The sequence below is a fragment of the Homo sapiens genome, chromosome 7 (assembly GCF_000001405.40).
Source record: "Homo sapiens chromosome 7, GRCh38.p14 Primary Assembly".
NCBI lineage: Eukaryota > Metazoa > Chordata > Mammalia > Primates > Hominidae > Homo > Homo sapiens.
In genome coordinates this window covers 17,874,478-17,891,861 of record NC_000007.14, presented here as the reverse complement: position 1 = coordinate 17,891,861, position 17,384 = coordinate 17,874,478, and the positions used below count along the sequence as shown (strand labels likewise).

The window sequence follows — 17,384 nt, the reverse complement described above, 5'->3', positions numbered from 1 at the left end:
AAATAATTTTTGCTGATTAAATTTTTGAGGATAATCATTTTTTTGGGAGTGTCTAATTTTGTTAACTTGAGAAATAGTGTTTGGCTTATAGAGTAGCACCTCAAATAAGGTTATTTATTTACTTGAGGATAATGAAGGGATGTTACATTGAGTATTCAACTGGAATTAAACTGGAGAGATTTTACATCAGAAAACTACTCAGTAAGATATTTTGATTTCCTTTAAGTGCTTAGAAGAAATGAAACGGGAAGCCAGGACTATTAAGATTGATAGAAGATTGACGGGTGCCAATATAATTGATGAACCTCTCCAGCAAGTGAGTTTCAGCGTGTGGTATTTGAATTCTATATATTGTGTTCTAGGTATATTTCTTTTGAAGATACCAGGAAATACTTTTTGCTCTTTAAATAATATCCTGGAATTTCTTAATGTTATCCTTGAATTTTATACTTGAAGATGCTTCCTTATTTATTAACTCACTTCTAATGAGGTGGTTTACTTTATGTAAAAGCCTTTCGATTGAATTTGGATTTAGAAAAAAAGTTGTTATTGACATTTGATAGTGTTTCTTAAAATTTTACAGTTAAAGTGTTACTCTTTCGTTGATGAACAAGCTTAGTGGTGTGGTAAATCAGACTTTTTTTCCTACTTGTTACCTTTTAAAAAATGGAAAAGAAATATCCGATGCAAAAACATTAAAAAATTAGAGATAGGTAAAAAAACTATGCCCCCTGAAATATTTTTCATTGATGTTTGATTATATGATTATAAAAATGTGTACTTTAGAATTTTAACATTTATTATTATTACTAATATTTAGTTTATCTGATTTGTAAAAATTATACATTGAGTTGTATTATGTACTATTTATTGTCTGAATACTGTTGGCAGTATCAAAGGTATTAGTAGAAATAAGTGAACTCCTGTATCATTTTTATAATTAGACTGCAATGGATCTGATGATATAATCTTTAAAAAAACTTTTTTTGTGGAATTATAGTCTCTATTATTTTACATCTCATTCCATTAAACTGATTGATATTATTTATTAGATTATAGCATGGAAAGTTTCTTTTTTTTCTGCAAACCCTGTCTTTACCTGGATTTATGTGGGACTTGGCCATAGATAGTGTTTTATTTTATTTTTTTTTTTAAATCTAGGCAGTAGGTAAGTTGGGATACCAGAATAATTTAAAAATGTTTGAAATGGTTTTTAGTATGTTGATGTTTTTGTAATGAGGGCAGGTATTTACCACCATAAATTAATACGTAGAGAGTAAATATAAATTGGTAGATACAGCATACTTTTTTAGTTTACCACTGTAACTTTTTAAATCCTAAAATGTTGTAATTTTTTTTCCAATATTTTTGTTATAGGTTATCCAGTTTTCCTTGAGGGATTATGTCCAGTATTGGTATTATACACTAAGCGATGATGAATCTTTTCTTCTTGAAATTAGGCAGACTCTTCAAAACGCACTCATTCAGTTTGCTACTAGGTAAGGACACGACATTGTATTTATGCAGAAAAATTTAGATGTATGGTTTGTACCAGTAAGGAAAACAACTTTTAAGGGGAGGAATTGTTTATTAAAAGGTAAGTAGAACAGCAGATTATTACTGTGGGATAACTCCAAGATTTTACAACTAGAGCTCTTAAAACCTTTAAATTACCCCAGATTTTAGGTTTTTACAGAATGTTATTTTGATTAAGCCCTGCTTTCTAAGTCTGTTTGGTAGTTTTTTCTTTAGGGTCCAAATCAGGTGACTTTTCAAATCTGTTACCCCACTTATTGCTACTTCCCCCCTCCCCCTTCCCTAGACCCTCTGTTTTATGTGAGTGCTATGAAAATAGATTAGTTTCAGTGTAACTGCTCTTCTCCACATAGTTTTGCTGTAACCCTTCTCCTAATTATGACACATATCTATTGGAAGTCCTCTTGGACGAGAAGGGACCAAAGGAACATAAGTCAGTGGAAAATATTCAAGTTTATATTTTTCAGAAAAGAAGTATATTTTGGTGAGTTTGTTTTAACAAACTTTTTTTGTCAGATATACTAAAATTCTTACTTTACAAACCAGCTATATACTGCTTCCCATATGATGAAAGTGTTTTGACTTCTATTCTTGTACTTAAACTGCTTGATTTTTTTTGATGGGAGGCTATTTCACACCTGTTTAAATTATGTTTACTTTCATTTTTATTTTTGAAGGCTTTTTTTCCCCTCCATCCTTGATGTCTAACTTTTTGAAAGCCTTTTAATGGGCAACGTTATGTGAAAGGGAATACTTGTGTTCTAGAAATTATTTATTTTTGAAAGAAAGATTTTATGTTTGGATGAGTTTGTAGATTTTTTTTTTTTATTCCATTAAAATATGTTGCTACCATCACACGCAAAGATTGCCCTGCTAGGTATTTCCAGCCATGCTGCCCTCTCAGGCCCTTTCCTCTATCTCCATTGATTATAAAGCTTTAGATTTGGAGTTGGCTAGAGGAAGGGCATTGGATGTGTTTCCCAACCTCATTGGGGAGCCTGGCACAAGTTTTATGATTTGAACAATAATTGTTACAGAGATAGATTTGTACTCCTCATCCCTCGTGATTAGGAGCAAGAATTTACAAAGTAGCCAGCCAGAATTACAGATGCAGACTCACTGTGGAACACAGAACATATAATTGGTATAATCAAAGAAAGTCAGAATTTGAATTTAATCTCTTTTATTTCATATGCACCATTATTGAGTGTTAGGTATTCTTTCAGATAACTCTTCTAAATATTTTTTATTGCTTTCTATAGCAACACTATCCTGATGACTTTTTTTTTCTTTGAAAGGGTGAGAATAGGAAGAATTCATTATTCTTGTGCCTGACTATTGAAAAATATATAAAAATGTGTAACACATTTTAGACCTGGGAAGAGATTTGAACTAGTAATCTGAAAACTTGAGTTTGCATTCTAGCTCCACCTCTAGCTATGGGACTGTGAGCAAGTGTCTTTAAACTCTGAACCTTGGTTTTTCTCATATGTAAAATAAGTGTAATAATAACTGCCCTGTTCTGTGTTCCTCTCAGGATAATTGTCAGGATCAAAATTCATCTTATTCAACTAATATTTTGGGCATACTTTGTACCAACCAGATGCTGGGGATACAGCAGTGAATAAAACAAAGTCCCTGCTCAGTGGAGTGAAATGAAATACCTGTGACAGTGTTTTGAAAATTGTGAAGGAATTTAGAAATTTAAGTTTTTATGCCATCCAACACCCATAATTTTACTGATGAGGAAGCTAAGGTCCAGAAAGGTAAAGTGGTTAGTCTAATGTTATCTAGTGAGTTAGAATCAAATTGTTCTTAAGTTTGGTATTTTTTCTCCTACCCAATTAAATATTTTATAATCTAGGTTATTTATCTTAGTTTCCTGCTCTTCTTTCCTGTTATTGCAATACTTTCCCTGTTTTTGATCCCCTAGTCACCTTTCTTTTCACTGTAGGTATTAAGTTTTTTTTTCTTTTGAAAACATTCAGTGCTATCAAGCTTAGTGAAAAAGCAAGGTTTTTTCCATCCTACACTGATCTAAATTTATATCTTTGCTTGACCATTTACCTTAAATTTCTGGAAAATTAAAACAATACAGATAATAACTACTTTAGAGGCTGCTTTGAGGCTAAAAAATGGTATCAAATAAAGTTCTTAGCGTGCAGTAAAACTCATTAATTGTTGGTTTGTTCCTTCTCTGTTAATGACTTTCCTACATTCCCTTTTTCTATTACTACACAAATATATGACTTACTAGAGGCTCCATGACTTCCGGTGCCAATATCAGGAAGATTAGTCTGTTTACAATCATTCATATACTTCAGAAAGCCTTATTCTGTGCTGTCTGCTGTATACTGTGAAACATATGATAGCAGCAAAAACTATCACCTCTATTCTTTAACTTACAGTCCTTTATAGGGCTCTTAACAGGGGCCCACAAACCTGGAAAAAAACTGTGGTTTTTTTTTTTTTCCTATCCAGTGGTTTCATAGGTTTGATTTCTTTAAAGGGTCATGAACTCAGAAAATGTTTAGAACCCATGATTTCTAGTGTTTGTATTTATTCATCAACTTTGAGAAACAATTAGAGAATGTCACTGTAAAATGAAGTGCTTAATTTTGAAAGATGGGAAGAAAATAATGTATGTTTTGAGTCCGAAGCTGTTGATTTGAGCTTAGCTCTATTACTTCTTAAGCTCTTGGCCTTGAGTGGACAAAACACATACATTTTTTGTCTGGAGATGATAACTTATATCTCCTTATGAGGTGGTTGTTAGGATTAAATGACATCATGTGTGGGAGAGTGCTTTGTAGTCATAACATCTTATTTAGTATTAGTACTTGTTATTCCAGTACCAGCTTGGGGAAGGAAACTTTCCTCCAGCACCCTTGAGTTCTCCTTCTCTGTGGAATTTGGGTGTGGATTAGACGGGAGCCTTAGGGAATGAATCCTGGATAACCCATGTATTTTTATTCACCCTCTAAATAAGATATTATAGTGTGATGCAGACAGCCTTGGCCTGTGTCAGAAAATCTATAATTCTATCTCTACTGTTAAGTTTTAGTGTATCGAAAAGAAAATTTTTAATGTCTCTGTAAAATAGTAATAGTAATTCTTGTAGCAAACTTAGAGTTGTAAGGGGAAAATGAGATGATGTGGGTGAAACATTTAGTAAAGTATTTGCCAACCAGTAAATGACATTTTTAGCAAATCACTTGACTCTGTGCCTCTATAAGCTGGCACATAGTAAGTGTTCAGTAAAGTTAACTTCTCTGTTATTATTGTTGCTATTATGTTCCTAGGTTGTGTACACAGATTCTTTGACCCTGTCTTAGCTCTTTTTTTTTTTTTTTTGTAGAGCAAGGGAGGTGGAGAGGGCAAAATTAAGGCACATGAAACATAGAGAAATAAAACAATCATTTCTGTGGTATTGAGAGCGGTTTGTCATGTAGCGATAGAGTGAACCACAGTAGCTGATGAAGACCTGAACGGAGTTGAGACCAAAACTGGTTTTCAAGAATGGGTTATTTGGATAGATAGAGAGGAAGGACATGTTAGGAAATAAGAATAGTATGAGCAAATTTCTAAAAAAGAAGATAAGGATAGTGTAGTAGAAACTATAACAAGCAACCTTGTTGTTGATCTTGAAAGTGAAGTGTGGGTGGTAAATCCCTCCATCATTGTTCCCCTTAACCCAAGATTAGCAGAAAGTACATAATATATTCTTTTTTTTTTTGAGACGGAGTCTCACTCTGTCACCCAGGCTGGAGTGCAGTGGCATGATCGGTGGAGAGCAGTGGCACGATCTCGGCTCACTGCAACCTCTGCATCCCAGGTTCAAGCAATTCTTCTGCCCCAGCCTCCTTAGTAGCTGATATTATAAGCGCACGCCACTACACCCGACTAATTTTTGTATTTTTAGTAGAGACGGGGTTTCACCATGTTGGTCAGGCTGGCCTCGAACTCCTGACCTTGTGATCCGCCCCCCTCAGCCTCCCAAAGTGCTGGGATTACAGGCGTGAGTCACTGTGCCCCCCAGCGAAAGTAGGTATATGCTAATGCCACTGTGTTCCTAACTGAAGGATCTTCCTGTAGAGGGAGGAGGGATAGATACATAGGTTTCAGGATTCGCTGGCTGTGATACTAATGATATAGTATCACAGGGAATGATAGGGAATGTGTTCTTGAAGTTTTACCAATTTTCTTACTACCTTTTGCCATAGAAATAATGAAAATAAATGGTATATCCCTACACTTGTTAAAAGGCAAACAAAACTCAAATAGTGGACATTTGCAACAAAGTTTTATCCTTTTTTTTGTTTTACCATTTTATATTCTTTGCTATATGAAATTTGGGTAAAAACTGACATTACTTGGAAAGACAGTTATTATATTTATTACAGTACAGCAAAAACAATTAGAAACTAATTTAAAATTAGAAATTTTATCTAAATATTTAAAAGAAGGGGAAATAGTTAATGTTTTTTGTTTTTGTTTTGAGGCAGACTCTTGTTCTGTCACCTAGGCTGGAGTGCAGTGGCACGATCTCGGCTCACTGCAGTTTCCGCCTCACAGGTTCAAGCGATTCTCCTGTCTCAGATTCCTGAGTAGCTGGGATTACAGGTGCACGCTGCCACTCCCGGCTAATTTTTTGTATTCTAGTAGAGACGGGGTTTCACCACATTGCCTAGGCTGGTCTGGAGCTCCTGAGCTCAGGCAATCCACTGGCCTCAGCCTCCCAAAGTGCTGGGATTACAGGTGTGAGCCACCACACCCAGCCTAACGTTTTTATAATCTGTAGAATAGACCTGGGGTAATAGTTCATTATTAACTGATACAATTCACAAACTATACAGTTCACCCACTTAAAGTCAGTAGCTTTAGTTAAGCATTGTACAGCTTTCATCACAATAAATTTAAGAACATTTTAATGACTTCACAAAGAAACCTTATATCCATTGTCAGTCACTTCTGCGTTTCCCCAAGCTTCTAGCTCTAGGTAACCACTAATCTTTTTTTTTTTTTTTTGTCTCTATGGATTTGCCTATTCTGAGCATTTTATATGAATGAAATAATATATGTGGTCTTTTTTCCTGTTTCTTTTACTTAACATTATGTTTTCAAGGTTCATTCATGTTGTGGCATAAATTAGTGCTTATTCTTTTTTATTGCTGAATAATATTCCGTTGAACACATACCACATTTGTTTTTCATCAGTAAATGGGCATTTAGGTTGTTTCTAGTCTTTGAATCATATGAATAATGCTACTATGAGTATTCATGTACAAGTTTTTGAGGGACAAATGTTTCCATTTCTCTTGGATATATACCTAGGAATATAATTTCTGGATTGTATGATCAGTCTTTTGAGGAACTGCAAACTTTTTCATAGTGGCTGTATTTTGTTACGTTTCCACCAGCAGTGTATGAAGGCTCCTCTTTGACCAACACTTAAGTTATTATTGTCTGTCTTTTTGTTACCATCTTAGTGAGTGTGAAGTAGTATTACATTATCGTTTGAATCTGCATTTCCCTGATAGCTAGTGATATCGAGCATCTTTTCATGTGCTTATTGGTCATTTGTATATTTTCTATAGATATGTGATTTGTTCTACAGATAGATGGTTTGTTTTCAATCATACTTTTTTCCCAGTGTCTATGAAAAATGAAATGTTCATAGACCCAATGGGAGCATATTAAAATGTGTGGAAAAAACATGGAAGTCACAAGTGGGAACTCTATTAACAATAATTTATTGGGTATTTACTGTTCCATCGTGTACAAACCATGGTAGTAAGAATTTGTTTCCAGATAGTGGCTGCCTATACAAAATTGTTATCTATAGTTGAAAAAACAATTCTTATGTTTTCGTTCATAAGAACACAAAGAATAGAAAAGAAAAATGGCAAATAAATTAACTTTTTAAAAAGTCATCTTAGGTATCTTTATTACTGACAACCAAATGTTTCTGTTTCTGGCTGTAAAGTAATATACACCTATTTTGTAAAATGTAATTTTCTTCTTTAGATTTTCTGAATTAGCTATTTTCAGCCATAGACCCACAATCCAAAGATCACTGTTAATGTTTTAGTGTATTTCCTTTTAATGTCTTAGCTGTGCATACATAGTCACAATTTTTATATAGCTAAAAATCATACAGCATATGCTACTTTGTATAGTTGTGATTCTATTTTCTATATATTTATAATTCTTCTTATATATTTTAATGGCTATAAAACTGTCTGTTGCAGGAATCAGCAAACTTTTTTCTAAAGAGCCAAACAGCAACGATTTTAGGATTTGTAGGCCACATCATTTCTGTCACAGCTAGTAAATTCTGCCATTGTAGCACAAAAGCAGCTACGGACAAAATGCAAATAAATGAGCATAACTGTCCAATAAAACTATATTTATAAAAACAAGCAGAGTACATGTCCTTTGCAGGGACATGGATGAAGCTGGAAACCATCATTCTCAGCAAACTAACACAAGAACAGAAAACCAAACACCGTATGTTCTCACCCATGAGTGGCGTGATGAGATGAGAACGATGAGAACACATGGACACAGGGAGGGGAACATCACACACCGGGGCCTCTTGGGGGGTGAGGGGCAAGGGGAGGGATAGCATTAGGATAAGTACCTAATGTAGGTGACAGGTTGATGGGTGCAGCAAGCCACCATGGCACGTGTATACCTGTGTAACAAACGTGCACATTCAGCACATGTATCCCAGAATTAAAAGTATGTATTAAAAAAAGCAACAGCACACTCAATAATAAAATGACAAGTAACCTAATTAAAAAATGGGGAAATAATTTGAATAGACATTTCACTATAGAAGAAATGTCCAGATGTTCTGAAGGACTTATATCTTAGTTTTAGTAGTTTTATTAATACTCCTGTTTACTAAAGTAGTTAACATCATGAGTTTAATTTTCTATACTTTAACATACTTAAGAAGATGTGCACTTAGCCCCATGTTATGTTTTTTCCTGTATTTTATCTTAACTAAGGTGTTCACGTCTTGTTTTTTGTACTCCTGAAATGATGACTATACTTTATGTGTGTACTTCTGTGTAAATTTTTTACTATTTTCTGAGATCTAAGTCCTTCAGAACATCTGGATATTGGAATCTCTTTGAAGCATTGAAATATAGGATATAGGACTGCACTTCTTAAGCAGTGTTATAGCTCACTAAATACCATTTCCTTTAATACAGTCATATAAAACTGCATGCCTAAGTTCGTTTCCACCAATTTGCTTATTACTTCTATGAATCAGGATGTTTTGTTTTCTTGTTATGGTAGAGTAGAAAGAACACTGAACTGAAAGTTAAGAACCCTGTTTGTTTTTGTTTTTGTTTTTGTTTTTGAGACAGAGTCTCGCCCTGTCGCCCAGGCTGGAGTACAATGGCGCAATCTCGGCTCACTGCAACCTCCGCTTCCTGGAACCCTGTTTTGTTTAACAAAACCTTGGTCTCACTGTGTCTCCTAGAATATGTAATTTAAATTCTGGCTCTGAAATTACAGGGAATTGTGGTAGTGATTTGAGAACCCTTTCAGTTCTAAAATAGTAAGATTCTCTGGTCAGGTTGTTACTAATCTTGATTTCTTTTCAATCATGTTTCCTCCCAAAACACACACTAACATACTCCATCACACTCCACATTTTGAATACCATTTGGGGAGTTATTTTTTTTTAAGTATATAGGATTGCTAATTAGAGTTAATTTACTTTGGGATTAAAGTACTCTTCATATCTATTGTTTTATTAGTAGGGGTCTTATAGTAGGATAACAAAATTTATTTAAACCTTTTAATATATTTCTAAATGATCAGAAAGAATGCTTGATTCTAAACATAAAATACATTTACTAATCTCTTCTCGATGATTAAAACCCTTGTATCAATGAAATAAAAAGTTTTTGTACAACCAGACTATTGCTGTTCTTTATAGAATGCTGAAAACAATAAATCTGTAGTGTTATGAGTTTGATTTTTTTTAAGTTTTCTGAAGTGTAAGTTCTCCCACCACGTTCAGTTTTAAGCTATCAGCATGAAGTCACTGAACATGGAAATAGGAAGAGATGTACACAATTGTTTGCCTACTCCAGCTCACAGTTGGAGAGGATACAGCTAAGTGAAGAGGGGGCAGAGGCAGATTTGTAAACCTGAAGTAATGAGTTGTATTTCCTTGTGTGGTTGCTAATTTAGCTCCTATGAAAGAATTCCCCGTATATTTTTGAGGACTATGGTAGGGGGTACTCATACATTAACTTTAAGTTCAGGAATGTTTGTGAAGAAGGTCAAATTAGTTTCATTATTTTAATCAATACTGACAACTAAATCCTTAAAGTGGATGATAAAAGGAGACTCTGGAGAGATGGTTATGGTAACATGTAGTATTTATGACTGAATTGACGTAGGGGGGATTGATTTAGTGGATTCAAAATGAAGCTTACAATTCTGTGCCTTTACAATTTTACCCAAATTCAATTTCAGCCTGAGTTTTTGACACCGTTAACAAAGTAGTTCTTCAAGGACTCTGAAGGATGGAAACAAGTAAAGGATTATGTATTTAGAGTGAAGAGTAGTATATCCTTTCTAATAGTGAATTAAGAGGGGGACTTAGTATCTGATTCAGAGACTCAGGAGAAGGAATTTTTTTCTTTCACAGATAAGCCACTCAGTTGCTTTCTCTCAACAAAAAAAAGTCTGAGTCAGTTGATCAAAAGGCCTTCTAATGGAGTAAAACTTTTCTCAAAATCTACTCAAAGTTACTTGTCAAAAATCTACCCAAGAAAACTAGGAATTCTATTTTAATGATTTTTCAAAAATTTCTATTTTTTTTACATAGAAGATAAAGACCTTTTGTTGAAGATTAATACATATTATTATAATTTTATGTGATTGGTTATTATATTGATCTTATTAACATACCTTTAAAAAGGCCAACTCTTAACGTGCGTGTGTGTGTGTGTGTTTGTGTATGTGTATATGTATATACCTTTTCCCTTGAGATTCCTTTCAGTTCTAAAATACTAAGATTCTATGGACCTCTGTGTGTGTGTGTGTGTGTGTGTGTTGTACATATAGTGTCTATGTATACCTACACATTATGCAGTATATAGTATACTCTACCATTCTTACTGTTTTTAAAAAAGGTCTTCGTAGTCATTTCTCTGAAAAACTAATGTGGCATCAGGAGCATAACATTTATTATAGGATTGTTTTCTGTGGAAAAAGCAGCTTTTACTTTTATCATTTTGACATAAGGCACCTTTTCCAGGAAAATATTCTGCCATGAATGTGAAGATCGCCTTTACTGCCAAGCGATCACCCTCTCCTCTAGTCAGGCAAGTCTACAAGATGACCCTTGCATATATATTTATCATGCTCATCCCCCTCTTCTGCTCATTCCTGTGTCCTTTCTTCTCCCATATAAATACTGCTCTTTCATCAAGATTTAAGTGTAGCCTCTTTAATGAAGCCTCTTTAAATTATGACATATTCCTTAATCTATAGTCTTTGTGTGTGTGGTTCTCGTCAACAAAATTTTAAGCTGATTTTGAAATGGTTCCTATTCTGTGCTATTGCAGTGAAAGTTCTCTTAACTGATGTTTGGTTAGCCAGTGCTCTCCATTCCCTTTGTATGCTGTACTGACTGATAACCTTAGCATTAAGACTAGGCTCTATTACATCTATCCACTTCTGTTTCCACCCTTGGAGTTGTATGCTTATCAAAAGTCAGTTGTGTGATACCTGGACCCCACCTCCAGAAAATCTGATACAATTAGTCTGTAGTGTGACCTGAATATTGGTGATTTAGAGGAGACAGATAATCAAACACGTTGAAATAAAAGTTGTATTTGTTTTTGAGCCTAAATATCCCAGTTACACTTTTTATGATAATCAGGTCGTTTAATTAACAGTCAACTTAGATTGAAGAAATATGAATATGACAAGGTAGTTTCTATGAAAACCAAGTCACTTGCTTTGGAATTACTCGCAGCTGGTTGAAGAGTGTAATTGAATTAAGTGAGCGAAAGGCAGCTATGAAATTTGAAAGTCTTCAAGGACTCTGCATGCAGATTTGTTCACAAATGTCTTTATTGCCATGCCATTTTAAAGAAACTGGAAACCATAGGTTTTGCAGTGTAGGAACAGTTCATAGTTTTTTCAAGACCCAGGTCATGTTAATACCACTCAGCAGAGCCTTAACCAAAGAAAAAGTCTTATTCCTACACAGGAAGATTTATATAATTGAACTTAAAGTGAAATATATTCATGGCTCCCTCTTTTGATCGAATGTTTAAATTTACCTACTGCCCAATTACCAGTTTTTTATACACTCCATCCCTGTGTATGTATATGTGTGGTTTTATGTAGCTAATATAATCATAGACTCAAAGATGTAATGAGTGTTGTTAGAGAAAACAAACTTTGGGAAATGATGTGACTTGCTGAATTTCATAGACTGGCACTGATGCCTTTGATTTGAGTAAAAGACCCATCATTTGGGGGAGTCTTTTGTTAGAATCAAAGGCATCTGTGTCAGTCCAGTGCGTTTTCCAGAAATACTTGATTTTGGTAGTGTTTTGTGCTACTGATGATGAGCTGTACACTGCTTAGAATAGATGGAACAAGTGAGGCAATTTACAATCCTAAACTCAACCACATATTTGGGCCTTTACTTGCCTTTTTAAGGGATTGGCATTAAGTAGCCATGGGACAAAAAGAGCTTCTCAGTACATATTCTACTTTAACACTTTAAGGAGTAAGGAAGCAATTGTTGTTTGTGCCTCCTGTTGCCATTGTCCAAACACCCATTGTAAACAGTGCTCCGACCCTGAAAAAGGAATCAATAAATCAATATGCATTGAGTGCCTCTAATAATGTTTGAATCATTACTTTTCCTTGGGGGATACAGCTATGAATAAAACAAACACAGTTGGCTGAGTGCAGTGCTATGTGCCTGTACTCCCAGCTACTCAGAAGGCTGAGGTAGGAGGATCACTTGAGCCCAGCAGTTTGAGGCTGCACTGTGAATATGCATGTGAAGAGTCATGGCATTCCAGCCTGGACAACATAGCGAGACTCTATTGAAAAAGAACAAACAAAATGAACAAACAAAAAAACAGACACAGTCAATCTGTGCCTTACTGAGATTAATGTTCTAACAGCAAATAATTCAACTGTAGGTTGTAAGAGCTATAAAAAGTGGAAAGTTTGGTATTATCAGAATGCATAACTGGAGACAGGGCCTAGTCTGAAGGAATAGTGGAGAGGGTGGGGGTCAGTGAAGGTTGGCATGTGGAATTGACATTTTAGATGAACTTTAATGTGTAAGTGGGAATTGTCAAGTGAATGGGGGGAGAGAAGGAAAATTTATGGAGAGTAGGCAATGCCAAGCAAATTTGGTAGAGGGAATAGTCTGTCCAGAGGCACTGAGAGTAAAAGGGGCATATTTGCACTTGACAAATGGAAAGAAAGCCTGTGAATCTGCATAACAAAGAGGAAGGGAGAGGGTGAAATAGATGGTGATGAGGAAATACACAAGGGCTTTCCGTATGGAAGATCTTAGAGAAGGTGTTTGTGCTTAGTCCTAATAATAATGGGGTGTTATTGCAGTTTTAAAGCTGTATATATCCTATTTTAAAAATTTGACTGCTTTATGGAAATTGGAATGCAAGGGAAACGAGTGGATGTGGGAGACCTGTAAGTAGAATGGTGGCGAGGGATACGATGGTGGCATTAGAGACAGAGATGAAGGCATGCAAAATTTATGTTCAGAGAGACACACTTTATAGTTTTGTTTTGCTTTTGTGCTTTCAGTTAAAATTTCATTAGTTGTTTGCATTCCTAGTTAACCTTCTTAATTTTTTCTTGCAACCATTCTGTCAAGATATATAAGCTTCAGGGGCCTACTATAAATGTTTTCAAGCTAGGGTTAATTGTATCACTTTTTTTGGCCATATAGGGATTGTGTTCTTTTATTTTTAAATTCAAGAAATTACAGCTTATTAGTAATAATAAAGCTCAAGTGTCGGTAATAAGATGCATTATGTAATAGCCCGGTTGTTTTACTAAGAATTCTATGGGGGAATATTTTAAGCAAAATGAAAAAGAGTTTTGACTGTTGGCATAATGTAAGAATAATTGATACTAAGAGCTCTAATAGAAAGCTATGTAGTAAATGCAGTAGAAGTATGGCTATTACATAAATGAAATATTTCTTACTCATTTTCACATTGCATTTATTACATATTTATCATGTCATGATTTTAGAAAGTACTTCACTGTCATCAAAGTATTTTCCAATTTTGTTAAGACAAACATTATTAGAAATTGTTAGTATATATCCTAATTTATAAATGGGAAGAAGTGTGCTATTGTTCTTCCTAATCTAGAAAGTTCTTTTGAGATTTATATTAAGTTTGCATGAAGTCAGTGGAAATAAGTCAAGCAGAAGGAAAATAACCTCAGAAAGAGATAAGATATCGGTACTGTTTTTCCTATTTTTCCTACCCTCAACATATTTCTGTATTGAAAATAGAAATCTGTACATCAAATTTAAAATAATTTTGTATGTATTTGCATTGCTTGATAATTTTATTCGTTTAAAATGTCATTACATCCTCTATAATGAATCAAGATGGATTTAAAATGTCTTCTAAATTGGTAAAATTTATTTTGTTTGAAAGTTTCAGTAAATTAAATAAACAGCATTGTAGCATGAAACAGGACAGATGTAACTTGAAATATTATATATTCTGCTTTCTTCTAAATTTGTCAAAATGAACCTTTTATGGATTAAATGAGCTATGGCCTATACTAAGTAAATTTTGTTTTTATAAAATTTTCAGTATGGATGATTTTGAATAAATATTCATGTAAAGATTTTTGAAAGATGCTTACACAGATTGTGATTTATTTTTTTAAATAAGAAAAAAGAGTTTCTAGAGACTGCTAGGTTTAAGTTTTTATTTTAGGTTTATGTTGAGACTGAATATTGTTACCAAGTTTAGTTATATGCTTATATGCATGGCTCTTATATTCTAAATAATGTTAATTAATTCATCCTCGGATTACTGAGCTTAGGGATCCACCTTTTTATGTTAATTTGTTTTCGTGTTCATATACTTACGGCTTTCTCTTTAGTTTCATGTATACAACAAACCTTAGTGTTAATAACTTATTTTTTTACTTGAAAACAGCCATTTATTTTTCAACATCATACTGACTCTTTAAGGCTTTTTTTTTTTTTTTTTTTTTTTCAAAAAGTAACAGTAATTAAGTCAGCATCTTCACTAGCCTTTTTATTGTATGTGTGGGTAATTACCATAATGAATTATGGCATACTTTTTTGGTTCCTCCATTGTCTAGCATCTTCATGAATAGACTCTTCGTTTTCTATCTACTTGGTATGTTCCTGGGTGAATTAATTTTAGTGCGATTTTATGAAAAAGAACATTATATTAAAAAATCACCCAATCCAAGGAGAGATATAAATTGTTTTTGAGTTATCTATTGTGTTTTTTACCTGTTACACTGGTATACTGAATTAACAGTATCTTTTGAGGTCTGTTGCTTTTGAGATAGAGTACTAGGTGACTTCTTAAAATTAGTAATCACCTTTTTCATGAGTATTCTAAAGGCTTTTATATGTGTGATATTTTATATCATTCTTTATACCATTTCCTTGTAATTAGTTATTTCTAATGGTTAAGGCTTTTTTTTTTTTTTTTGATGAGATAGCTCTGTTCCCAGGCTCGAATGCAGTGGTGTGGTCACAGCTCACTGCAGCGTTGACCTCCTGGGCTCAGGTGATCCTCCCACTTCAGCTTCCCTAGCAGCTGGGACTATAGGTGCATGCCACCATGCCTGGCTAATTTTTTGTAATTTTTGTAGAGACAGTTTCACCATGTCGACTAGGCTGGTCTTGAACTTCTGGACTCAAGTGATCCTCCTGCCTCAGCCTCCCAAAGTGTTGGGATTATAGGCGTGAGCCACTGTGCCTGGCCATGGCCAAGTTTTTAAGTGCTAGTGTATTCAAACAGAACGTTCAGAACATGTGTTGCATAGCTAAAAAGATGAATGTGGAGAATTCAGAAAGAGTTCAGAAGAAACCAAGAAATGTTTGAAATGCTCTTTTAAAGCAAACAAAACTATTCAGAATTCCTTATGTATTCTTATGTTGGGGCTGAGAAATTACATGATATACTGTTGTCAGATTCACTTCAAATTTAACTGGAAAAAATTAATTTCTTTTTCTATTTTAAACCTTTAGATAGTAGTTTTAAGCTTTGGCACATAAAATAATTCAAGTAATATTGTTAGAAGACTTAGTGAAGTAGATTTGATTTACTTTGAATCTTGTGAAACAGTACTAACAGGTAATAATGAATGAAAATCTCAATTTAAATTTACAGTCTCAGATAATCATGTTGTTTGTCAGTAGTCATTAAAATGAATTTATATTTTCTGATAAAGCATTTATATAATCCTTTTATGTAATGTGTTTTTTATAAGGTCAAAAGAAATAGACTGGCAACCTTATTTTACTACACGCATTGTAGATGACTTTGGCACACACTTACGAGTATTCAGAAAGGCTCAACAGAAAATAACAGAGAAAGATGATCAAGTGAAAGGTAATATCTTTATTCCATTTGAAAACTAGGATTTGAAAATCTGTTTTCCTTTCATCATTTTATATATCTTGAATTGTTTTTCTTTAGGTACAGCAGAAGATCTTGTAGATACCTTCTTTGAAGTTGAAGTTGAAATGGAGAAGGAGGTTTGCCGTGATCTAGTGTGCACTTCCCCCAAAGATGAAGAAGGTTTTCTTTTAATTTAACTTTTTTGACAATAGTAGCTGGCTAGAGTCAAGTTAGCAGAACCAGTGAAAAAATCTAAGGGTAAAATTATTCTTACTTAGGGCAGGTAGCATAGTAAAGATGCTATTCATTTTATTTTATTTTGTAACTCTTAAAAGTAGTTTCCAGATTCTGTTTTCTTCTTTAAAGGTCATCTTTAATAATTAACTGGTCCTGGCTGGGTGCAGTGGCTCATGCCTGTAATCCCATCATTTTGGGAGGCCGAAGGGCCTGGATTGCTTGAGTCCAGGAGTTCAAGACCAGCCTAGGCAACATGGCGAAACCCTGTCTCTACTAAAAGTACGAAACATCAGCTGGCTGAGGTGGGAGAATCACCGGAGCCTGGGAAGTCAAGGCTGCAGTGACCTGTGATCATGCTATTGCACTCCAGCCTGAGTGACGAGAGTGAGACCCTGTCTAAAAAAAAGAAAAGAAATTATCAATCTACTTTTAAAATATAGCAAACGCAAACATTTTATGACTGAATTTTTTTATCTGTAGTAATTTCTCTTCCTCTTGAATTTATTATTTTTGCTTCAGAAGTATACCTGTTACCATAAAATATTTCCTAAGGGAATGATACAGTGATTTCAAATAAAATTTATAGATTTCAACGGGCTTGTCTTTTATTGGTAGGAGTTTACACTAGACAAGTTTTAGCTGAGGACGTTATCTTCCCAGTTTTGCAAGTATTAAGTCTTTGTTAATTGGCACAGTTTTAAATTAAGAGGATCACTTATGCAATTATATTCCCAGAAAGTGTCAGCATAGGAACAACTATAGAAAAGCCCTTCTAGTTGTTGAAATTGTTTTCTTAGATTTTGAAAATGTTTTAAATATTTTTATTTATTTCTTTGTTCTTCCTTTCTTCTTTTGCCTTTTCTTTTTATGTTTATTGTATAATTCAGGTTTTAATGGCCAGTTTATTAGCACTGTTAAGAAGTATAGTTGACACTTGAACAGTGA

General features: G+C 34.2%; 1 protein-coding gene across 16 annotated transcripts in view; it reads left to right on the top strand.

The window, feature by feature from the left end:
- Positions 1 to 17,384, top strand: part of SNX13 (sorting nexin 13) — a 149,734-nt gene that overhangs the window by 48,633 nt on the left and 83,717 nt on the right. For 9 of the 16 annotated variants that reach the window (NR_146932.2, NR_146933.2, XM_017011893.3 and 6 more), the window contains exons 4-7: positions 227 to 316; positions 1,378 to 1,499; positions 16,072 to 16,193; positions 16,281 to 16,382. Coding sequence is in view for 14 of the 16 variants with exons in the window: in XM_017011893.3 (XP_016867382.1) it covers positions 227 to 316; positions 1,378 to 1,499; positions 16,072 to 16,193; positions 16,281 to 16,382 (436 nt within the window). In the remaining 2 variants the exon portion in view is untranslated. Of the gene's footprint in view, positions 1 to 226; positions 317 to 1,377; positions 1,500 to 3,073; positions 3,303 to 8,918; positions 12,433 to 16,071; positions 16,194 to 16,280; positions 16,383 to 17,384 lie in introns of those variants that run through there. The other 7 variants (NM_001350864.2, NM_001350867.2, NM_001350866.2 and 4 more) reach the window with 7 other exon arrangements.